Genomic DNA, 25,194 nt, shown 5'->3' on the forward strand with positions numbered 1-25,194 from the left:
GGAGTTTGAGACCAGCCTGGCCAACATGGCAAAACCCTGCCTTTACTAAAAAAATACAAAAATTAGCTGGGCGTGGTAATGCATTCCTGTAATCCCAGCTACTCGGGAAGCTGAGGCATGAGAATCACTTGAATCCAGGAGGCAGAGGTTGCAATGAGCCAAGATCGCACCATTGCACTGGAGCCTGGGCGACAGAGCAAGACTCTGTCTCAATAAATAAATAAATAAATAAATAAATAAATAAATAGAGGGAAGAGGAGGAAGATGAAGAGGATGAGGAGAAGGAGGAGGATGAAGATGAAGAAGATGATGATGCTGAATAAGTTTGTTTTAGTGCAGTTTTTTTTCTTATCTATAAAGCATTTAAGCCCCTTGTACACAACTCATTCCTTTCAAAGAAAAACAATTGAAATGTAAGTCTGTGTAAGATTTATTTTTAAACTATACCGTGTCATTTTTTGTATGGTAAACACACTACTGAACATGTCTTTAGATAACCCTGTCCTGGTGGCATTTTCAATAGCCACTATTGAAAATGTGGCTAAAACTGTACTTTGTCTGGTACAGTATGGGGGTTGTAAATTGGCATGGAAATTTAAAGCAGGTTCTCCTTGGCGCACAGCACAAATTATATATAAGTTATATATGGGAATTGTAATTTTTCATCTTCAGTTGTCTCTGTTGCAGCTTATAAGAAACAATTGCTCTGTTAACGTAATATTACACTGTAATTGCAAAAAAAAGTCGCAGCTGTTCTGTTGACAGTCTGAATGCTTTTAAGTAAATACAATTTTAAAAATGAGTATTGTCCTTAAACAAAAAAAAAGAGCTGTGCAATACTCTATCTGCCACCAGAGGACTTCACTTACATCTGTGCCACCTTCAAGAAAGGCAATAGATTTCTGAGGTTTCCAATTGAAAATGGCTGGAAGGGCTCTGTTAGAAAAATCAGTCATTGGGAAGTTGATGGAAGTAGGTGGCCCATGAGGACAAGATACACTCTAGTGAACAGGAAAGAAAGCAACTAACTGGGGAGGTCTGATTGTATGGAGTGCTTTCCCCAGAGGGAGAATGTGCCAGTTATCAATTTATTGCCTCTCAGCTCCCTTCACTGACTCATCTATTAAAACATATCTGGGCCCTGTAATTAGTTTTTACTTTTACTAGCTGGCACAATGTTTCATCAGTAGAGGGTGCTGGAGAGAGGCATTGAAGAAAAAAGGTGTTTTCCTCCCTGGTCCTGATGGCTTGTTGGCTGGACCCCTGAAGAGCATGTTTTTAACTTCACTGTTGGCTCAGTATAAGTGCCTACAGGGCATTGCTTTTGCTGTGTGCCTTCTTCAGCTCTTTTCTTGACTGGCAGAGTGCGGTTAGGAGACCCGGACAGCATGGCTTTCACCCTGTCCTATATTGCTGCTCTGCATAGGCATGCTGGGGGCCCCATAGGGCTGGCTGTCTAGTGAACTGAATGCCCAGCCTTCATCCACTAGCTCAGACTACTCTAGCCCAAGTCATATGCAGAGGTGCACTCGGTTGCTGTGGAAGGCCTCCCCAGCTCTCAGTCCCACCAGCACCCTCAGTGGCAGCCCAACTCACTCTGCACACCCACCCATCAAGTTCAGCTTTCCTGGGTCCTAGATATCCTGACACAGACACTGTGTGTTCCAGGCCTCACACCTACAGTGGCTCTGTGACTCTCTCTGTACCAGTCCCCCTGTGTACACCCAGCTTGCCCACCGGCTCTGACTTGCCTGCCCCAAAGGGTTACTTCTTTCCTGGCAACTCTTAGCCATCTCTGGGCTGTGCAACTTAGGAACTCCTCTGCCACCAAGTAGATTGTGACCACACCTTCTTCAATGAGCTCTGATCCCTTCCTCCAAGTTTGTCCTTTTTTGGAACTTTCCCTCAGTCCTACAGCAGTGTTTAGAGCTTTCATTCTATCTTTAGAGTCACTCTCCTATCTTTCTTTACTCAGTAATTCTTTATATTAAACATCCCTGTTTAAATTACTATGTGGTTTTTGCTCTTGATTAGACCCTAACTAATTAAAGTTTACTCTCACTGGGAGAGGGCAACAGGTGTTCTGGTCTTTCATTAAATCTCATTTCAAGAAAGGGAAGAAAGCAATTTCCTGTCAAGAAACTTGATGTTGATACTGGCACAGACTCTCTGGGTAGAGGATGGAATTGGTATAAAAACCCTAACCAGTAACTCAGGCCCTAGGCCCAGATCCTGGCTTATATTCAAGTACAGTTTCGAGATAGGGATTTTCCTGTACAATGAAAGAACAGCTTCTGAGTGCCTATCATAACCCAGAGCTGGTAAGGGTTTAAGACGTTTGCTAGACTTCTGCCTACAATGGAATAAGATAACTTATTCTGGGAACATTATTAGTTACAGTGAGATGTAAAATTCACCTTCTTTTCATTGAGGTGGCACTTAAAAATAGCATAAGAGACAGATAGTTTCTAGATTAGGTATAATGTGCTAATAATGTAAAAAAGGTTCTTCTTTTGCTTCTTTCTCTTTCTTGCCAACGATGCATTTCTAAGTTTCTCTTTTAAAGAAAATTTCCTGGGTCTGAAAAGGAAGTTCGAAGTCCTTGTGATATTCTGCTGACAGATTGATCTTGTTTTGATTTTCTTGAATGTTCTGTTCTCCTCTTCTGCAAACAATGGGTCATTTTTGTCTCTCGATTTTACTTAGCTGTGGTTTGAAGTCTTCTTAACATAACAGTACTGTGTGTTAACCATGCTATAATTAAAGAGTGAAGCTGAGGTTCTCCAGTGCTCCTTAAAGATTTCCTGGGTTAACTCTACCACAACTATACATCTCTGATAATGATATCTGCAGTCTTGTTCATAAAATAAGATGCATTACCAAGGTGAGATGATTGCCCACAATCATATATCTAAAGAAGGAACATATAACTCATCTGAATACAAGAGACTTCCTTCTAAAGGATTTGACATATCTCCCATTGTTTTCCCATGTTTGTCCTCATAGAAATCTAATGAGGTAGATATTACTTTAGAGATAAGAAAGCCAGGCTAAATAAATTAGGGAGATTTCTCCAAGAAGTTTCAGTAGTAGTGTGCAGACTAGAAGTTGTATTTTAATTCTCTGGCTTTACGTAAATATTTACTTACTAACTTTTCCTCATATAAAAAAGAGCTGGCTATGCAACAACTGGTTTTTCTTTTTCTTTTTTTCTTTTTTTAGACAGAGTCTCGCTCTGTCAACCGGGCTAGAGTGCAGTGGTGTGATCTTAGCTCACTGCACCCTCCACCTCCCGGGTTCAAGCAATTCTCCTGCCTCAGCCTCCCAAGTAGCTGGGACTACAGGTGTGCACCACCACACCTAGCTAATTTTTGTATTTTTAGTAGAGATGGGGTTTCACCATGTTGGCCAAGCTGGTCTAGAACTCCTGACCTCAGAGATCCACCTGCCTTGGCCACCCAAAGTGCTGGGATTACAGGCACCCAGCCTGGTTTTTCTTAAATGAGATAATTTCTTCCTTTTTTCCTAAATCATGTGTCAGGAATAATAAAATTATTATTTATAGTAATTCCATTACTCACAGTAATAATTGTGATAATAATGTAAACAATTTGTATTTATATAGCATTCTATTATTCACAAAGCATTTTGACATATATTGTCCAATTTCATTCCTACAAAAATCCTTGTGAGGTAGATAGAAAAAGTATTATTTTCCTATTTTACAAATAGAAAATAGAGGCTCAGAGAAGTTAATCGAATTTCTTAATAGCATATATTTAGGACGTGATGGTGGAGATTGAATTTCATCCTAAATCTAACTCTAAAACCTGTCCTATGACACCCTCCATATACTACATAATAGCCAAAGACATATTAAGCCTATCTGCTGTTCAACAAATTACATGCACCCAGAGGTCCAATTTGGCAGAGAGAACAATGCATCTAAGTGTTCAGTTATGAATTGAATTCTGAAGTTAGAGAAATATTTGACACATATTGAAATTGTGTATTCTGTAACATGTGTTGTGATAAACACAGAGTCTAATAATGTGTAGTACTGTCAGATATAGTACCTCCATAGACATACTGTAATATAGTAGTACTGTCAGATATAGTACCCCCATAGGCATACTGTAAATAGATTTCTTTCACTCCATGGAAACCTAAGCTCAGAGAAGTTAAATAAATTATTTGCACCAGGCTCCTATGATTTCAAAATGCTGCTTTTTCTGGATTAATGTAGTTAATTTCAAAAAAGATGTCCATATAGAAAAGGTTCTCCAGGGAGTAGAGAAAAAGAGCTGGTTGTCTTCCACCAGCTTGAGGAGGATTCATGAGTGGAACCAGGCACTGGTGGAACTAATCAGGGTGTCACCCAAGCAGGACACCCTAAGTTTATCTGCTTATCTACTGAACTGATAGGCAGCAAAGAAGATATCACCATTCACGGCCTGGTGACATGGGCAGTTTCTGACATATTTGCCCATCGTCCAGGATACAATTCAAATAAAATCATATGTTCTTTCCACAGGTTGTCAACATCCCTTGACTGATTTAGGTTTGATCATATCCATTGGCAAGGGCACATGCTCACTGAGTTTAACAGAAGCATAATACCCTGTACTGCTTTTATTTCCATTTCTTTTTTAAAGATATTTTTGCTCAGAATGTGCAGTTGAATTCTAGATGGTAAAATAAGTATCAAATGGAACCTCTTTGTATTCTTTAAATGAATGATATCTTTCTTTGCATTTATAATGATGTATATTTTCAATCATGACACATTCTGGATTTTCTAAGATAGTTCTGTTTTCAAATTATTTATTTTTCCCATGGAAGGGCTTATCTTGGTCCAGATTTTTTATTCAGAAAATAGTAACTATATTGCATGTTGTGTATGTCATCTGTATTTTATTTGCCATTTGTCACCTGTACTTTAATAGCTTTCTACTATATTACCTGTTGATTCCTATATTAAGAATATAATGAATTTTCTGTAAATCTAAAATCAGAAAAAAATACTTTTAAAAAGAACTTAAAGGAACTTAATTATTTGTGTAAGACAAATGCTTTTTATTTCATTTATTCATTATATATGTTTAATATATCTAACTGATATGACAAATAGTTTATCAATATCTTGCTCACACCAAAACATTAATTCCATTTGCAAAACTATGTGAAAATTATAGCTATTATCCCAATAATTCAGATAAAATAGCTTTCTAGTGTGTTTTCCCTTTCAATATTTGGGTTGATAGGGAAGGGATATGAATTTTGACTTGAACCATAAATTAGATTGTCTAGATTGACTGATTTCATGACATAACTATGCAACCTGCCCTTGGGGTTTCTTGGTGATGAACTTTTTCTTACTGTTCTCACATATTTTGTTTCCAGCTATAAATTCATACAATTATCAGAGTTTGGTTTTGGTCAAGTCATAATTGTGAGTGAAGAACCATGGAAGGAGAACATTTCTTGCTCATCAACTACTTTCATAAAATCAACAATTTGCTTAAGTAAGTCTTCAAAATAAATACTGATTTTAATGAATATCTACCTTTTACAGTTCATCAGAACATTTTGGTATATAAAATTAGCCTCAGGATGGCAGAACTTATCTGTTAGAGACATTTTGAGGGAAAAAGTGCCCATGTAAAAGAAACGAATATTGAGTCTATGTTTGATTGATTCAATTCAAAGATAGTTTTTTACAGTCATGTAAGCACTGACAGACTGTTCTGTCTACCAGAGAAGTACGTTTTATTAGAAGCATACTAAATTTGTTTACTCTAGATTAATAGGTTCTGAATTTATACACTTCTTTACTGTTTTATATATATATGTGTGTATATATATGTTGTTAGCAAAAATATATATAATACTGTTGTTTATAGGATACTGAATATTTGGCAGTTTGTAAGGTGAATGTGGGAATTACTCAAATGAGGAGTCAAAGCAGGGAAGGCCCTGGGTGATGTAATGAGGTCACCATTTGAGAGGGGATTGAGTGGCTAAGGCAGAGCAGAGGAAGAGAGGCTTTTGATTTGGTTATTAAATGCCAAACAGATGTGGTGTAGTAAATGTAAAGAATCAATGAACATTTGGAAAACAAATATTTTAAATTCATATTTCATGCTTTGGGATATTCACTTATCACACATAGAAAATAGGAGAAAATATTTTTCCCTTTGTGAATAATGCTTTGAAAATTCAAGTATTGGTCCCTGAGGGAGGTAGGGCATATGAAGCAATGATTGGTCTCTTCCTAAATTTAGTAAATATTGGGTCTTTGAAGATAATTCACATTAAATGGAGTGTTGGTGTTAACGCATGATACAAGCTAAAATGTGAATAAGCTCTGGACTTATTCTCATTGGTTCTTTTTGGGGGCAGGGTTATCAGTTTGTTTTATCAAAGTAGTACAAAGCTATATACAATATTAAATAGTACTACAAAGCTTATATTAAAAAAAAAAAAAGCAGTACCTTCTCCCTCCCCTCAGCTGTGCTTCCCAGGGGCTTTTAAATCTTCAGTAGTTTTTCCTGATATAAAATGCCTATCATTATACACCTATGTCTTCATTTACAAATTTTAGATATTATCTATTAACCCCTGACACACACATATTTCCCTCTCCTGTCATTCTAATATAATTCTAACTTCATTTCTAGTTAATTCAATATCGAGTATTTACATTATGATGTCAGTGTTGGTCATTGGTAACCCAAGTATTGTACTTTGACTACTTATCCTTCATTGTACCACCTGTAAGAGTTAAAGAAAGAGGAAAGAAACACAAAATGTGGCTTGGCAGTTAAGACAGGTTTACTTTAGATAAAACATGAGAGGGGCTTCTGGCTGATAATTTTTTTTTTTTTTTTTTTGGTCAGGAGCACTTTCTCTTACAGACTATATATTGGAGTATATATTGGTCTTAGGGTGAAGGGGCTTATTATAAGCTTGGAATGTTTCTGTGTGAGGGAGAAGTTTTATGGTGGGGTTGGAATGTCTCTGGGAGGAGGGATGTTTATCTTGGGGCAGACATCTTTCCACCCAGATGGGGGTTATCTCAAGGCTGGTATCTTCCCCACTGGAGGTGGGTTATCTCATGGCTAGCATGTCTCTGGTCACGGAGGGGTTTGGAAAGTTTCTGGTTGGAGATGTTATTTGTGGTTTATGGTCATGCTGGCCTAAGCCATTAGGCTGATGCCCTTTGGATTTAGGCAGTTTTTTATTAAGGTGAACTTTAGAATGAGGGGTTTGTCCAAGATGGTGATGTTCCTGCTGTATCACAACCTTTTGTTTTCTTTCTTTTGAGTTAAGAATTGCCTAGCTTTCCATCTTATCATTTTTCTTTCTTTCTTTCTTTTTCTTTTTCTTTTTTTTCTTTTGAGTTGGAATTTTGCTCTTGTTGCCCGGGCTGGAGTGCAATGGCTCAATCTTGGCCCACTGCAACCTCCACCTCCCAGGTTCAAGTGATTCTCCTGACTCAGCCTCTGGAAAAGCTGGGATTACAGGCGCCTGCAACCATGCCTGGCTAATTTTTTGTATTTTTAGTAGAGATAGGGTTTCACCATGTTGGCCAGGCTGGTCGTGACCTCAGGTGATCCACCCTTTTTGGCCTCCCAAAGTGCTGGGATTACAGGTGTCAGCCACCATGCACGGCGAGCATCTTATTATTTTTCTATCAATTCAACCAAATGTTTCGTTAGATTTTCAGATGCTGACTAATACTACATTCAACATTTCAGATAATCTATTTGTGGTCTCTGTCTTCCTGATCCTGTCTGGACTGGTTGCTGTCTTGATTGTCATCCCAGGACATTCCCTGTTTTCCATCTTCCATTTCTTTTGTTTTGTTTTATTTTGGTTAGGTCACTCCATTGGTAACAATTGTGCTGGGACTCATCCTTCAGTAGGGTGAGCAAGAGTGCATGGATGCCTTGTATGTTTACCTGCACAGTTGTTTGTTACTTAAGGATATGAATAGAGTTCTAGGATGAAAATAACTTCCTGTTAGAACTGGGAAAGGATTGCTTCATTGTCTTCTGAACTCAGTTGCTACCAGCAAGTTTGATGCCCATTCTGATTCCACATTCTTTTAATGTGCTTGCCTCCCATCCCCAGTCCTCTAGCAATTCCAAGTTTTTTCTTAGTTTCCTGAAATTCCATACTGTGACTTGGTGTAAGTCTTTTTTAATTCATTGGGCTGAGCACTTAATGGGACCTTCCAATCTGAAATTGTATGTCTAAATTGAATTACTTCAACTCTGGGATATTTTCTTCTTGGATTTATTTGAGGATTTCTTCCCATCAGTTTATTCATCTCTCTGTTTTCTTTTTCTGAAAATCCTATGAGTCAGATGTTGCACATCCTGGAATGAATATTTAAGCATCTTATTTTTTTCTCTCTTTTTGGCTATCTTTTTTATCTTTTGAGTTTACTTTCTAGATTCGTTTGCTTTTATCTTCTAATACTTTTATTGACTTTTTTTGTTTCATGGCCATATTTTTAATTTCTATAAACTTATTCTTGTTCTGATTATTCCTTTTTAAAAAATAATCATCTTCTTTTATGGATATAATGTTTTTTGATCTCTCCAATGATTCAATTATAATTTTAGTAAAGTTTTGTTTTGTTCCTTTTACTGTCTTTGTTTCTTCTGGGATTTATTGTTGAGGTTGGAGGCTTTCCTCAAATATCTTATAATCTTAGTTATCTATTTCTACTTTTAATAACCTAATTTATTAATTTTCTGCAGAGGTAAGTAGGTTCTACTAATTTATTTGCCCAAATACATTTTATTTTGGTATGATAGAATTTTATCAGATTCTCTAGCCACCCATGTGTAGTCATAAGGCATGAAATGCTGCTTTTTATGCACAGGATGTTCTCAAATGCTTCTAAGTCCTCAGCCTTTTTGAATGCCTGCAGAGTAAAGTGCTTGGCTGCTTCTTGGGATCCACTGCTTTGAAAACAGATTTTAGCTTCTTTTGCTTGGTAACGTTATTTACCATTCTTTCATTTGTATCCTAGCTTTCAAATACTTGTTTTTTTTTGTCTGCTGATATTCATTTCCTACCTGCCCTTATGTTTTATACCATTTTTAGATGAAATTTCAGAAAAAAAGAGAAGACAAACACATTTAATTTATCTGCCATATATATTTTAATTAATTAATTATTTTTTCATAGAGGCATGGTCTCCCTATATTACCCAGGCTTGGTCTTGAACTTGTGGGCTCAAGTGATCCTCATGCCTTGGCCTCCCAAAGTGCTGGGATTACAGGCACAAGCCACCATGTCTGGCCAATCTGCCATATTTAGCTGGAAGTTCCTTATTGGTTTTTTATTTTGGCAATCCAACTTTTGGATATGAAGATGACTTTTATGTCTTAGAAATATTACATTATTAAAAATATGTTGGTTTTGACTTGCTGGGGTTATTTTCCTCCTTCCTGGTAAAAACACTTAATTCATTACTTTGAGCAAACTTCCCCTTCCCCAATTTGTGTGGTTCTGGTGGGGCTGCCCACCAGACATCAGCCCTCTGACCACAGAGGTGGACACGTGCTCTAATCTGGAAAATTAGTTTCACTCTCATGGGAGTATGACTCCTGAACAGAGACTAAAGTTGCTGATGATGTTGTTTTCTTACTGGTGAACCTTAGAGGGCTGGTCTATAATTGTACCAGCCTGGGTCCTTTGTTGGACATACTAGAAACCAACTCTGATTGGCTTTAGCATAAAAGGGTTTTAATGGGAGCCTATTGGTTAGTTCATGAAATTTATGAGAAGGTTTTAGAATCAGGCTTAGAAAATAATCAGTTACCATGCATGTTAGTTTCCTACAGCTGCTGTAACAAATGGCCACAAGCAGAGTGATGTAATACAACACATTTATTTTCTTATAATTCTGGATGTCAGAACTATAAAATCAAGGTCTGGTCTGGACATGGTGGCTCAAGGCTGTAGTCCCGTCATTTTGAGAGGGCAAGGTGGGAGGATTGCTTGAGCCCAAGAGTTTGTGACTACCCTAGGCAACGTAATGAGACCCTGCCTCTATAAAAAATAAAAACTTAACAGGGCGCAGATTACAGATGTGAACAACTGTGCCAGGCCTGTAAATGTATTTTATTAATATCTTACATAGTTAGATCATTATATTGGCTTTAAAGTGTTTTGCGTAAGTTGCATTGCCTCTGAATTCCATTTCAGGAAAGTAAAGGAGATATTACAAACTATTGTTATTAAAAGGGGGCATTGGGTCTCATAGAGCTCTAGCCAGAAAAAATAAGCACATTCCACAAGGCTTGAGGGAGTAACATCTGGGGGTTACAGAGTCTGTTTCTCACAGGAAGGCATGGGTTCTCTGGACCTGGGGTAGAGCTTGGGCTTGAACGACTCCCTTGCTACGGCTCAGGGGCTTCTCTAAACATCTCCTATTTGCCCTCAACATTACTTTGAGTCTGACCTCCCCAATCATACACCTGTTTTTATCTGGTAGATTATTTTGTAAGTGACCTCACATACCAGCCATCTCTATTCAGCCTCCATCTCATTTCCACTGTGACATTGAAAATAAGTATTTTTAGTTGCTGAGACCAGATCAACCTATATAGAAAAATAAATCTGGTTCCACTTTTACTTCCTATATAGGATATCATTAACATATTTTCCATATGAATAGGGACTGTCATGTACCATATGTTATTCATCATATGGCATCATGCCTGTTTCAAGGCACATTTTAATATAGCACAAAGGCAAAGAGTTTTAAACTGGAATGTCTGCTGTGCATTATGGTTTAGACTTTCTGGTTATCATGAAGCCTGATTAAGTTAGCTTTCTACATGTATACCATAGAATGAGCTCTCAACAAATTACCTAGAAAAGTTAACTTAGCAAGATAAATTTTGGGCAAAATAAAAGTAAACTCGTAGAATTTTAGCTCACTTTAGGCAAGGTCACAGAGATTTTGCAGTTGAAGCACATTTTATTGGATGAACAAAAAAGAAAAAACAGGAAAACAGCCTGGCTGGCAAGGAAGTAGACAGACATGACTTCTCTGTTCTAGTTATTAAAGGCTTAAGAATTCGACTATTTAAAGCACAATATCCCATATTCAGATACCTTCATTAATTCGACTATTGACTGAAGCCCATCTGTGTGTCAGGTACTACGCTAGTTCCTGGGGAGTTCCTGGGGAACAATGGTAAGCACAGATAGACTCAATCTCTGACCTTGAGGAAATTACAATCCAGTGGGGAAGATAGAAAATAATAATAATAATTTATTTTATTTATTTATTCTCTTTAAAAAATAGAGTCAGGGTCTCACTGTGTTGCCCAGGCTGGTCTTGAATTCCTGGGTTCAAGCGATTTGGCTGCCTCCACCTCCCAAAGTGTTGAGATTACAGGTGTGAGCCACTGCACCTGGCCATAATAATAATTATTAAGCCACTTATGATAATATAGATACATATAGAGTTAGGTGCTGTTAGGGAAAATATCCTAAAATAAAAGACACTGGATTTTTTTCCATTAGCCCTTTTAGATCCACCCTCCATCTTTCTCGACCCTGCTGTGTGCTCCAGGAGGCGGCCTCTGTGGTCTGCATCAACAAGCAACCTGTCCCTCTGGCCTCAGGCTGGGTTTGACCCAGGAGAGGCATCAGCAGGAGACTGGGTGGTGGGAACAGAGAGAAATCAGGCAATTTACTCCCCTTTCCAGCCAGACTATAGATTAACTTAATTTCTCTGCTGAAGGCCACAGCTATTCTTTCTAGGTTCTGGGAACCAACTGTCCACTTATTCCTTTAGATGAGGGGGTGTTAAAGGATTCCTGCTGTTGCTAGTTCAGAATGTTTCACTATAGCTAGTTGGCTTCCTTTAACTATGCTCATACCTTTGTAAATGGTTCCCTCCTGGAACTCACCCATGGGTGTGCCATCTTTTTCCTGCCAGGACCCTGACACGAGCCTGGACCAGAGAGGGTGGGGCTGGTGGTGGTGAAAGGGGCATTCTAGGCAGAGGCAAGAGCTCTTCAGGGGAAATATTTGAAGGAAGGACAGTGTAGCTGGAGCGTAGAGAAGGAGGGGTGAGATGGTGTTGAAGGGGGAGGCAAAGGTTTATAGGATGCAGTGGATGCTTTTCTTTTTCTTTTCTTTTCCTCTCTTTTTCTTTTTTGAGACGGGGTCTCGCTATTGTTGCCCTTGTTAGTCTTGAACTTGGGCTCAAGTGGTCCTCCTGCCTTGGCCTCCCAAAGTGCAGGGACTATGAAGGAATGAGCCACCACACCAGGCCTCTTTTTTTTTGGCTGCTCAGCATTTTTTGAAACCCCTTCTTGAGTATGGGGAATTCCCTACTTTAGGGGTCTTGGCAGGAGGCCCACTGCCTTCCCATTATAGAAGCTCAGCTCCCAGGTGGTTAGGTGTGGGTGCAGGACCTAGTCTCAGCCAGTCAACACCACCCAGCCAGTATCTGGGTCGGGAGCCAGAAGCAGAACAGTGAGGGCTTCTCCTCTGGCCTTGGCAGGTGTGGCAGTGGCTCTGGCAGTGGTTTCCAGGGTGTTGGCAGTGCAAGCTGTGGCAACCATTTACTTAGCTGCTGGGGGCCATATCTTTTATAAATTTCTTTCTTGTCTGAATGGGCCAGATTTCATTTCTTCCTAGTGGTAATATCTTTTTAATACATTTCTTTGCTTTTTAAATTAGCCAGAGTCCACGTCTGCTTTTAGTAACTAAGAGCCCTGAGTGTACTTAGTTGTACACCGTGGTAACTAAAAACACTGTACCTTATAGATCATGCTAAGTGTTTTAATCTTAATTATAAGTACAAAGGGAAGACATTTAAGGCTTTAAGCTGCAAGAATGATGCGGAGGCAGTGACAGGACCAAGTTTGCATTTGGAAGAGCTCTTTCAGACTGCATTAAGGAGGGTCAGATTAAATATAGGGGGACCGCCAGCACGGTGGCTCACGCCTGTAATCCCAGCACTTTGGGAGGCCGAAGCGGGCGGATCACAAAGTCAGGAGTTTGAGACCAGCCTGACCAACATGGTGAAACCCCGTCTCTACTAAAAATACAAAAATTAGCCAGGTGTGGTGGCACAGGCCTGTAATCCCAGGTACTCGGGAGGCTGAGGCAGGAGTATTGCTTGAACCCAGGAGGCGAAGTTTGCACTGAGCCGAGATCATGCCACTGCACTCCAGCCTGGGTGACAGAGTGAGACTCCATCTCTAAATAAATAAATAAATAAATAAATAAATAAATAAATAAATATAGAGGGACCAAGGGATAGATGATGTTGGCTTAGAGTAGGAGTTGCAGTGGTAACACAGAGAATTGCCTGGATTTAAGGGTTATTTAACATTTGAAATCGTTATTACTGGATGTGAGGAAAGTTAAGGAAAAGAGAGGCATCAAGGTTAGTCCTTAGATTTTTGCTGTTTGAATTGGATGTTGACTATAGGAGGCCCAGGTACTTTGTTTAAATCCTGATTGCTATCGATAATTTAATGGCTGATCAAAATGATTTTTCTATTCTCCTATGCTTTTATATACATACATAAACTTGTTGGAGTTGGATGACCAATTGTATGTACATTTTCTTTAGATCCAGACTCTGAATTCAGACCATGTTTCAATGCTTGGCTATCCCTGATCAGGGAAAATGCAGTTGGTCTCTGAGTCACACTGTGAAATAGTATTCAGAGCTGAGGCTTCATCTGCAGTGCTTGATTCAACAGATCCCTGGGCTGGTGTGAGTAAGTGGAAAGCCATTTTAGAGAAGCCAGAATTGGGTTGCCATCTGTCACGCATGGGCTTTGCTCCTTACACATATTGGTGAATAAAATGTTTAACAGGCTGTAGCCGGAAAGTGATATGAAGCATCTCATTCATGAGGAAACTCTACATTTTGCTTTCTATTTAAGAGCATTGTTTAAATGTCCTCTGGGCTGTGTTTATGCATGCTCAGCTGAATAGATTCTTGCCTAAAGTCCACTATCATCAGCACTTACAAGATGGAACAAGAGGAAATTGTAAAACTAATACGTGCTGCTTACCGGTGTTCAGAGCCTCTTCTTTCAAACATGACTTATTTACAAATTTCTCCAACTGAAGTCATGCAATTTTTATTTGTTGTGCACTTATTTTGTACCAATCACTCTTCCAACCACTAATAAATATGTATTTATACACACACCACACATCCCTCCATACCCCATGTGTTTATTCGACTCTCACTCTGATATGGTTTGACTCTGTGTCTCCACCCAAATCTCATCTGGAATTGTAATCCCCATGTGTTGAGGGAGGGACCTGGTGGGAAGTGATTGGATCATGGCGGCAGTTTTCCTCATGCTGTTCCCATGATAGTGAGGGAGTTTTCACGTGATCTGATGGTTTAGAAGTGCGTGGTGGATCCTCCTCTCCTCTCTCCTGCCACCATTTAAGACATGCCTTGCTTCCCCTTCGCCTTCTGCCATGATTGTAAGTTTCTTGAGGCCTCGCCAGACATGCAGAACTGTGAGTCAATTAAACCTGTTTCCTTTATAAATTACCCAGTCTTAAGTAGTTCTTTATAGCAGTGTGAAAACAAACTAGTGCACGCTTCAACCGTATGAAATAGATATTGCTGACCTCATTTTCCAATAAGGAAATTGAGGTTCACATTTAGCAATCTGAATTTGAACCCAGCCATGTGTTACTAGTCCTATGCCAAACCAATGTGCCATAAAATCATCTGATTTATCATTTGTTCCTTTCCCTTATTATGTGTTCCCTCGACTGGTATCAATCCAGGATGTATTCCATTATTTTGAAATTGAAGACATCTCTATTTAATAGGGACAAAAGCATAGGCAAATAACAAATAAGTAGGGTGAGGAGTTAAAGAAGTAGTTAAAGGAATTTAAAATTTAAGTGGCTAAAAGAAGCCATCAGGATCTCTGACCTATCCAGACATGGTGGCCAAACTCTGGTGAATTTCTCCACTTGACTCCTATATTATAAATTAGGATGAGAAAAAGGATCAGAAGCTTTTAAAAACATTAGAGTAGCTCCACTACAAATAAGGGAAAATGCTGGAGCTAGAGTCAACAGATGGAGTTTGAATCTGAGATTTGAATCTGAATTTTACTACTATTTGTGTCAACTTGGGCAGATCAGTTGACATGTCAGAGCCTCTGTCTCCTCTGATGGTAACACTTTTGTCATGTAACATTTATGTGGAATAAATGAATAACATTTACAGAAATTATTTATAAGCTGTAAAGCATTATACAAATGCAGATATTATTGTTAACTTACTTGAGACTCTAAAGGTTGAATTTCTGAAAGTTAAGTCTAAGTAAAATGTCTGTGTTCCTATAAGCAGAGCAAGATCACCAACAACAGTGTCAGCCATCATAGCAATTTTTATATTTGCTACATCTTCATATTTTTTTCTTACCACAAAGCTGTAAAGCATTGTCATTGTATAAAATTTACAGAAGAAGAAGGCGAAATAAGTTTTCCATTGTCAACGAGAGCATCAGAAATAAAATCAAGATTATTTCTACCTTGCACTATGTTCTTCCCACATTAAAATACCTTTGCTTAACACCATTTATGGAAAAAAATGTAACTTAAGGATCTGTAGTTAAATTTAGCAGATAATGTTGAAAGATGAGACTAGGAGAATATATTTAGAGACAGTGCCTACTTAACATGAATTGTTATCTGCTAGGGAAAAAGATGAGTTTTAGGTATTCCTAGAACTCAGTCTAGCAAATTATTCATCTGTAAGGGGAAAATCTGTGGTAACTGTACCTAAAATTATTTTTTAAACATCTCAACTTTGAATTTATATCTAAAAGTAACTTTTTTTTTCCTATGCAAGATGTCCCACACTTACTAATATATCCAAAGACTAGCAAACCTGTAGGGGAAAGTAAAACATAACAAAACAATAGATAATTATCAGTTCAGTGACTCCTTAAAGTTAACATTTAAATCATTTGCCTTTTCCAAATAAAGGCTATAAGCACAAATTGCTTTATTATTAGCCTAAATGCTTTGGTTATCTTACGCATAAAATATTTTTTAGCTCTGCTTGCATAACCCATAAGATTTAAGCAAAACATTGAGGGAAGGAGAATGAACACACATTGTTTAATGTGGCGTTTGACTTTACAGGTGTATTTTGTCATGGCAGTCGTCCAGTTGGAGTGGGTCACTGATAAGCCAGCTTAGCTTATTCTTACACTAGATCTGATATTTCTGTGTGGAGGGAGATTGATTCTCTAATGCTCTTGGGATTTTCTCTGTGCCTTTAGTTGGTTCATCCCAGGAGAGAAGGGATGACTCATGTTTTTGTTGAATTTGAGAGAGGAACTGGGTTTGTACAGTCCTATCCATTTGTTGTACGCACTCTTTAGTATATCTTCCTACCTTATAAAAGATCTACCTTATAAAAGACCCGTTGAATACTTCCTGGGCCTCAGGGCTGGATTGCAGGTAGCAGGATGTCCACCTCTGGTCACAGGTAGGCATCTGATCCAAACTGGGCCAATGAAATTTTCTCTTAGGACTTGAGAGGGAATAAAGAAAATCAGTCTGGCTATGATATGTATGTAAACTCAGAAGCTGTGGGATGGCCATTGCTTTCGACTCATGTGGATTAAGAAGAAACAGGTATTCTGTAGAAGGAGAAGCATAAACTAGGTCCAAAGAGAACTGCTTGGGCTCTGATGGTTTTTCAGTTCTTCCCTCCAGCCTGTTCGAATTTCTGTTGTTGGATATTATGAGATGTCTGTGTCCTCATAATAAAGTCTCTCTTTTTGTTTTTGCTAAAGGTAACATGAGTTGTTTTCTGCTACATGCGCCCAAAAGCATCTTAGCTAATATACCATTTAGTTGTGAATGAGAATATAATCTTACACAGGCTGTTTGAGAAGGAGGCTGCATTCTTCTCAAACAGCCTGTGTTTGAAGGAGAAGCAATGGCTGTTGGTACAGCAATTTTAGGTGGTATAATGAAATTTCATCTTTTCATTAAATTAAATTAATTACTTAATTTTATTTTCATTTTTAATTTATTTTATTTAACTTTATTTTTAAGGCAGGGTCTCTCTCTGTCGCCCCGGCTGGAGTGCAGTGGTGCAATCACAGCTCACTGTAGCTTCAAGCTCCTAGGCTCAAGCAAATCCTTCCACCTCATCCTCTTGAGTAGCTGGGACTACATGTGGCACCACCACACCCAACTAATTTTTTTAAACATTTTTTGTAGAGATGAGGTCTCACTTTGTTGCCCAGTCTGGTCTCAAACTCCTGGCCTCAAACAATCCGCCTGCCCAGGCCTCCCGAAGTGCTGGGATTACAGGTGTCAGCCACAGCACCCAGCCAGGAAGGAGGATTTTTATATAACCAAACCAGAAGGTAATGTGATTCAGTTTTGTCATATATATGGGGATAATTTGCCTGAAATTTCTCACCCCCTACTTTCCCAAGAACTTGCATAAACATCTCCCACTGCTAAAACAAAGCAAAATACAGGCTGGGCACGGTGGCTCATGCCTGTAATCCCAGCACTTTGGGAGGCCGAGGCGGGTGGATCACGAGGTTAGGAGATCAAGACCATCTTTGCTAACACGGTGAAACCCTGTCTCTACTAAAAATACAAAAAATTAGCCGGGCGTGGTGGCGGGCGCCTGTAGTCCTAGCTACTCGGGAGGCTGAGGCAGGAGGATGGCATGAACCCGGGAGGCGGAGCTTGCAGTGAGCCAAGATTGCGCCACTGCACTCCAGCCTGGGTGACAGAGCAAGACTCCGTCTCAAAAAAACAAAAAACAAAAAAAACAAAAACAAAACAAAGCAAAATACAGAATGAATGGAAAGATTCACATGATGCTACCATATTTTGAACACATTGAGGGTGACCAGCTGATGAATATGCTAGTTGGCCACTAAGTTTTTGAATTTAGCTATGTAATTGACATAATTGTAGTTAGCAAGTTATATGTGTTTAAAAACATTAGTCACTAAAATATGCAGATTTTAATGAAAGAGAGAAGATATTGTGCTGGGAATATTTAACCCAGAATACTTCTCTGGCATAAGTTAAATCTCAAGATGTTTTACTTCTTAAGAAAAAATACATTTGGGCCAGGCTCAGTGGCTCATGCCTGTAATCCCAGCGCTTTGGGAGGCCAAGGTGGGCAGATCACCTGAGGTCAGGAGTTCAAGACCAGCCTGACCAACATGGAAAAACCTCGTCTCTACTAAAAATACAAAATTAGTTGGGCATGGTGGCACATGCCTGTAATCCCAGCTATTCAGGAGGCTGAGGCAGGAGAATCTCTTGAACCTGAGAGTTGGAGGTTGTGGTGAGCCAAGATTGTGCCATTGCACTCCAGCCTGGACAACAAGAGCAAAAGTCCATCTCAAAAAAAAAAAAAAAAAAGAAAGAAAGAAAAAATACATGTGGAATCTGCTCTGCAGGTGTCCAGTCATAATTGACAAAATGGCTTATAATAAGGATTCTGAAATTCTTATTCATGTTAAATCATTCCAGTGATTTACATTGAAGTCAAATGCTGGTTAAGTGGTTTCATGAGGATGAATTTTACACCTAACCAGAGCACACTATCTGCCGTTCCTCTGCATTGTTTACTGTGCTTCTATAGGTGAGATTTTTCCCCACTTACTTAGCTCTTTTATGAATCCTCAACCCCAGAGTTATTTAACACATATTCCAGAATTGGTGATCACTGCACCAATTCAGCCCTCTGTGTTCCAGGGAAACCCTTCTTAACAACTCTAGTTACTTTGTAAGCTATGCTCTAATTTTAAGTGATATCTAAATGAAAATAAAATATAATTCACATTATTTTCAAAAGCTATTCCATTTTTTTTTTTTTTTTTGGTGGGGGCAGGGTCTCAGCTCTGTCACCCAGGCTGGAGTGCAGTGGCACGATTATGGCTCACTGCAGTCTCCAACACCCAGGCTCAAGTGATCCTCCCACCTCAGCCTGCCTGGTAGCTCTATAGGTATGTGCCACCACACCCAGCTATTTGTTTGTTTGTTTGTTTGTTTGTTTGTTTTTTTCAGAGACAGAGTTTCATCATGTTGCCCAGGTTGGTCTCAAACTTCTGAGCTCAAGCAGTCTGCCTGCCTTGGCCTCCCAAAGTGCTGGGATTACAGGCATAAGACACTGCACCCGGCCTCAAAAGCTTTTCTTTATTTGACTAATCCAAACACCCTTTCATGATAATAGCATGCAATAAATTAGGAATAGAAGGGAATTTTCTCAACTTAGAGAAAAACATCTACAAAAAACCCACAGATAACATCACGCTTAATAGTGAAAGGCTGAAAGCTTTCCTCCTAAGATTAGGAATAAGACAAGGATATTTGCTCTCACGGCTTCTATTCAACACTGCACTACAGATTCTAGCCAGGACAATGATGTAAGAAAAAGAAATGAAACATCCAGATTGGAAAGGAAGGAGTAAAACTATCTCTGCTTACAAATGGCACAATCTTGTGTGTACAAAATACAAAGGAATCTACAAAAACTCTTAGAGCTAATAAACAAGTTTGGCAAGGTTGCAGCATACAAGATCAATTGTGTTTTTCTTTTCTGTCTTTTTTTTTTGAGACTGGGTCTCGCTCTGTCGCACAGGTGAGAGTGCAGTAGTATGGTCATAGCTCACTGCAGCCTTGACTTCCCAGGCTTAGGTAATTCTGCCACCTCGGCCTTCTGAGTAGCTGAGACTACAGGTGTGCACCACCACACCCAGATAATTTTTTGACAAGACAGGGTTTCACCATGTTGCCCAGGTTGGTCTAAGATCAATTGTATTTCTGTATACTCCAATGAACAATTTAAAAATGACGTTAGGCCGGGTGTGGTGGCTCATGCCTGTAATCCCAGCACTTTGGTAGGCCAAGGTGGGTGGATCACCTGAGGTCAGGAGTTCGAGACCAGCCTGGTCAACATGACAAAACCCCATCTGTACTAAAAATACAAAACTTAGGTGGGCATGGTGGCGCGCACCTGTAATCCCAGCTACTTAGGAGGCTGAGGCAGGAGAATCATTTGAACCCAGGAGGCGGAGGTTGCAGTGAGCTGAGATCGCACCACTGCACTCCAGCCTGGGAGACAGAGCGAGACTCTGTCTCAAAAAAATATATACAAATACAAATAAATAAATAAAGTGAAAATGGTGTAAAGGAAACAGTTACATATGCAAAGGATCAAAAGGAATTAAAATACTTAGGAGTGAATTAAAATAAGTGCAAACCTGTAATCTGAAAACTATCAAATATTGTTGAAAGAAATTAAAGAAGATCTAAATAAATGGAAAGACATCCCATGTTCATGAATTAGAAGACTTAACATTAAGATGGTAATATTTTCCAAATTAATCTACAGATTCAATGCTATTCCAATCAAAATCCTAGCTGCCTTATTTTATTTATTTTATTTTATTTTTGTGACAGGGTCTCACTCTATACCCAGGCTGGAGTGCAGTGGCATAATCACAGTTCACTGCAGTCTTCACCACTCCAGCTCTAGTGATCTTCCCACCTCAGTCTCTAGAATCCAGCTACCTTTTGAAATTCTTTCTTTCTTTCTTTTTCTTTCTTTCTTTCTTTTTTCTTTCTTTCTCTCTCTCTCTCTTTCTTTCTTCTTTCTTTCTTTCCTTCCTTCCTTCCTTCATTATTTTCTTTCTTCTTTTTTTTTTTTTTTTGACAGAGCCTCACTCTGTTGCCCAGGCTGGAGTGCAGTAGCACAGGCTTGGCTCACTGCAACCTCTGCCCCCTGGGCTTAAGCAATTCTTGTGCCTCAGGCTCCTGAGTAGCTGGGACTACAGGCACGTGCCACTGTGCCAGGCTAATTTTTGTATTTTTAGTGGAGACAGGGTTTCACCATGTTGGCCAGGCTGGTCTTGAACTCCTGACCTCAAATGATCTGCCTGCCTCAGCCTCCCAAAGTGCTAGGATTACAGACGTGAGCTGCCAAGCCCAGCCCCCAGCTACCTTTTTTAAAAGTGGAAAATTTAAGCTGATTCTAAATTCATATGGAAATGCAAGGTACTCAAACAATCTTGAGAAAGAACAAAGTAGAAAGACTCACACTTCCTAATTTCAAGACTTACTACAAAGGTACATTAATCAAGTGAGTGTGGTACTGACAAAAGGCTAGACTTATGATCAGTAGACTAGAATTGAGAGTTCAGAAATAAACTCTTATATTTACAGTCAATTGATTTTTTGACAACGGCGCTAAGACAATTCAATGGGAAAAGAATAGTCTTTTCAGCAAAATGGTGCTGGGACAACTGGGTATCTACATACAAATGAATGAAGGCGGACTCTGACTTCACACCATATGTAAGAATAAATCAAAATGAGCCAGGTGTGGTAGTGCATGCCTGTAGTCCCAGCTACTTGGGAGGCTGAGGTGGGAAGATCTCTTGAGCCCAGGAGTTTGAGTCCAGCCTGGGCAATGTAGGGAGACCATACCTAAGGAAAAAAAAAAAATTAACTCAAAATGGATCAAAGACCTAACTACCAGAGCTAGAAGTACAAAACTCTTGGAAGAAAACATAGATGTAACTCTTTATGACTTTGGAAAGGCAATGCTTTCTTGGGTTTGACACCAAAAACACAAGCAACAAAAGGAAAAAGTAAATAAATTGGATTTTGTGAACATTTAAAATTTTTGTGTTTCAAAAGACACCACCATCAAGAAAGTGAAAAGGCAACTCATAGAAGGGGAGAAAATTTTTGCAAACCTTATATCTGATAAGGAACTTATACCTAGAATATGTAAATAACTATTACAACTCAAAAATAAAGACAATGATTAAAAAATGGGCAAAAGGTCTGAACAAAGATTTCTTCAAAGAAGATTTACAAATGGCCAATAAGCACATGAAAAGTTGCTTGATGTCTGATGTCATTCATTATTAGAAAAATAATCAAAACTACAAAGAGATACCACTTCATACCTACTAGAATGGCTAAAATGAAAATGATGGAAAATAACAAGTGTTGGCATGGATGTGGAGACATTGGAACCTGCATATAATAATGGTGGGAATGAAAAATAGTGCAAATTCTTTGGAAACAGTCTGGCAGTTCCTCAAGAAGTTTAACATAGAGTTGCCATATGACTCAGCAATTCCACTGCTAGGTATATACCTAAAAGAAATGAAAACAAGGCCGGATGCAGTGACTCATACCTGTAATCCCAGCACTTTTGGAGGCTGAGGTGAGGAAATTGCTTAAGGCCAGGAGTTTTATATCAGCCTGACCAACATAGTGAGACCCCCATTTCTACAAAAAATATTTTTCAAAATTAGCTGGGTTTGGTGGTGTGCACCTGTAGTCCTAGCTACTTAGTGTGCTGAGGCAGAAGGATCACTTGAGCCCAGGAATTCAAGGTTATAATGAGCTATGATTGGGCCACTACACTCCAGCCTGGGTGACAGTGGGAGATCACATCTCTAAAAAATAAATAAATACCAAGGTGGGAGGATCACATGAGTCCAGGAGTTCGAGACCAACCTGGACAATACAATGAGACCTCATCTCTACTTTATTTTAAATAAGTAAATAAAAAACCAAATTGATTGTGGTGATGGTTGCACAACTCTGTGAATATTATAAAAATCACTGAATTGTACATTTTAAATGGGTGAATTTTATGGTATGTTAATTATATATAAATAGAACAGAATTTGTGTGTGTGTGTGTGTGTGTGTGTGTGTGTGTGTGTGTGTGTAACTGTATTAGACAGGATTCTCCAGAGAAACAGAACAAACAGGATGTATTTATATACAGAAAGAAATGTATTTTAAGGAATTCGCTCACACAGTTATGGAGATTGACAAGTCCAAAATCTGCAGGGTGGGCCAGCAGGCTAGAGATGCAGGGATGAGTCAATGTTGCACTTGCGGTCTAAAGGCTGCAGAATTTACTCTTACTCAGGGGAGGTCAGGCCTTCAAATGATTGGATGAGGTTCACTCACATTATGGAAGGCAATCTGCTTTACTCAAAATCCACTGATGTAAGTCGTAATCTCACCCAAAATACCCCCACAGTAACATCCAGAATGATGCTTGATCATGTATCTGGGCACTGCGGCCCAGCCAAGTTGACACACAAAATTAATCATTATAATGGCCTATTCTTTCTACTTTCTCATTGGTCCTGGTGACTGGATAACTTTAGGAAGTGGCATTGTTGATTCACCTAAAAAGCAGTTCTAAATATAGTAGCTATTCACAATAAAAGTTCAACGGACGGTGTGTGCCTGATAGGCTACTTAGGCTATTAACAGATTTAGTAATGGAGGTTATAAAAATAATTCCTAATAGGCCAGGAACAGTGGCTCATGACTGAAATCCCAGCAGTTTGTAAGGCCTAGGAGGGTAAATCGCTTCAGCTCAGGAGTTCGAGACCATCCTGGGCAACATGGTGAAACCCCGTTTCTACTAAAAATACAAAAATTAGCTGGGAATGGTGGCACATGCCTGTAATCCCAGCTACTTGGGAGGCTAAGGCATGAGAATTGCTTGAACCCAGGAAGTGGAGTTGCAGTGAGCAGAGATGGCACCACTGCATCCTATCCTGGGTGACAGAGTGAGATTCTGTCTCAAAATTAAAAAAAAAAAGAAAGAAAAAAAAAAAGGGTGGACACGGTGGTTCATGCTTGTAATCCCAGCACTTTGGGAGGCCAAGGCAGGAGGATCACCTGAGGTCAGGAGTTAAAGACCAGCGTGGCCAATATGGTGAAACCCCGTCCCTACTAATAATGCAAAAATTAGCCAGGTGTGGTGGTGCATGCCTGTAATCCCAGCTACTCAGAAGGCTGAGACAGGAGAATCACCTGAACCTGGGAGGCCGAGGTTGCAGTCAGCCAAGATCACGCCACTGCACTCCAGCCTGGGCGATAGAACAAGACTCCATCTCAAAAAAAAAAAATTCTCGTAATAAAATGATATAATATTTACCTCTAGAAGTTTCCCTTTTCGTAAACCTTTTACATAACTAAAGGTTATAAAATATGTCACTCATATTGATATTTCTCTTTTTTATTAATCTTTATATTTTATGAGTTCTTTGTAGCAGATATTTCGAGTTTTGCATTATAAAAAGTGTTTTGATTTTAGATTTAATATTGTTTTTAGAACATTCATTAGGGCCAAAAATGAAAATGTTCCCATCTGGAAAATGATGCATTTGTACACAAGTTGAACTCTCATTTCTTTGCATAATTACTGCTTAGTTTTTCATATGTAAAATATTAAATCTGGTGGGGAGCTTATGTAAGTGTAAAGAAAGTATTCTGGAAGAAGATGCCAAACTGATAACACCAGAGAAATGAAAAGGTACTGGGCTTGAGAAAATGGCGGGGGAAGTCCAAAGAGAACTTCAAACTTATCTGCATTGTATTTAAAATTTATACGGAGAATATATTGTATGCATTACTTACACAATTAGCAATTTAAAAATAGCATATCTAGTCTGATTTCCTTATTTTGTAGATTGCAGAATGGTGGCTTAAAGAGATTGAGAAGCTCATGGAAGATCGCACTGCTAGTTAATGGCAGAGAAAGGACTGGCAGCTAGGCTTCCAGTGGCCCAGTCCCTAACTAAATAATCTACCCAGACAATAATGTACTAAAAACATCAAAATAGGCATCACAAAATATTGAATATAAAAATATTAACTAGTCTAGAAGTTTAATAGATTTTTATATAGAATATCATTTAGAAGATGAATTTAATTTTTCAGAACCAAGAGAAAGAAAGGCCAGAGTGTTTTGGAGAAGGAATTTTGAAGAACTCATAGACCTGGAGATGGATCAGGGAGGGAGAGAGAGAGAGGGTACAGCAGCCATTTGGCTTGGCCTGGAGTGGAGGTGGTGGCTAGATCAGGGCCCCTTAGGAGTGGTCAAATATAGCTTGCACAGTGTGTGAAAAAGATAACACTTAGCAGCTGTCTATACTGAGTCCTGAAAGTTGTCTTTATAATTTCACCTCTGTGAGCCTTAACTATTTTTATAAATTATTTCTATTTAACTGTAATCCTGAATCGGGTTTTCAGGGTCTTCTAAATAACTGTTATTTGGAAACAAAACCGTATTGAATTTTACTAAAAACACATACACATATAAATCAGGTTT

At 39.0% G+C, this 25,194-nt stretch overlaps 1 protein-coding gene across 2 annotated transcripts in view, besides 1 other annotated feature; it reads left to right on the forward strand.

The window, feature by feature from the left end:
* Positions 1 to 25,194, forward strand: part of ACYP2 (acylphosphatase 2) — a 334,188-nt gene that overhangs the window by 80,723 nt on the left and 228,271 nt on the right. For both annotated transcript variants that reach the window (NM_001320586.2, NM_001320587.2), the window contains one exon: positions 5,404 to 5,525. In NM_001320586.2, the coding sequence (NP_001307515.1) occupies positions 5,404 to 5,525 (122 nt within the window). The remainder of the gene's footprint in view (positions 1 to 5,403; positions 5,526 to 25,194) is intronic.
* Positions 21,362 to 22,561: an enhancer, noted in NCBI's record as "MED14-independent group 3 enhancer chr2:54300334-54301533 (GRCh37/hg19 assembly coordinates)". NCBI's record gives its function as "activates an origin of replication core promoter dependent on BRD2, BRD4, P300/CBP and CDK7 cofactors, and independent of MED14, by STARR-seq in HCT116 cells {active_cell/tissue: HCT116}" and the evidence as "EXISTENCE:reporter gene assay evidence [ECO:0000049][PMID:35650434]".

The sequence above is a fragment of the Homo sapiens genome, chromosome 2 (genome assembly GCF_000001405.40).
Source record: "Homo sapiens chromosome 2, GRCh38.p14 Primary Assembly".
Classification (NCBI taxonomy): domain Eukaryota; kingdom Metazoa; phylum Chordata; class Mammalia; order Primates; family Hominidae; genus Homo; species Homo sapiens.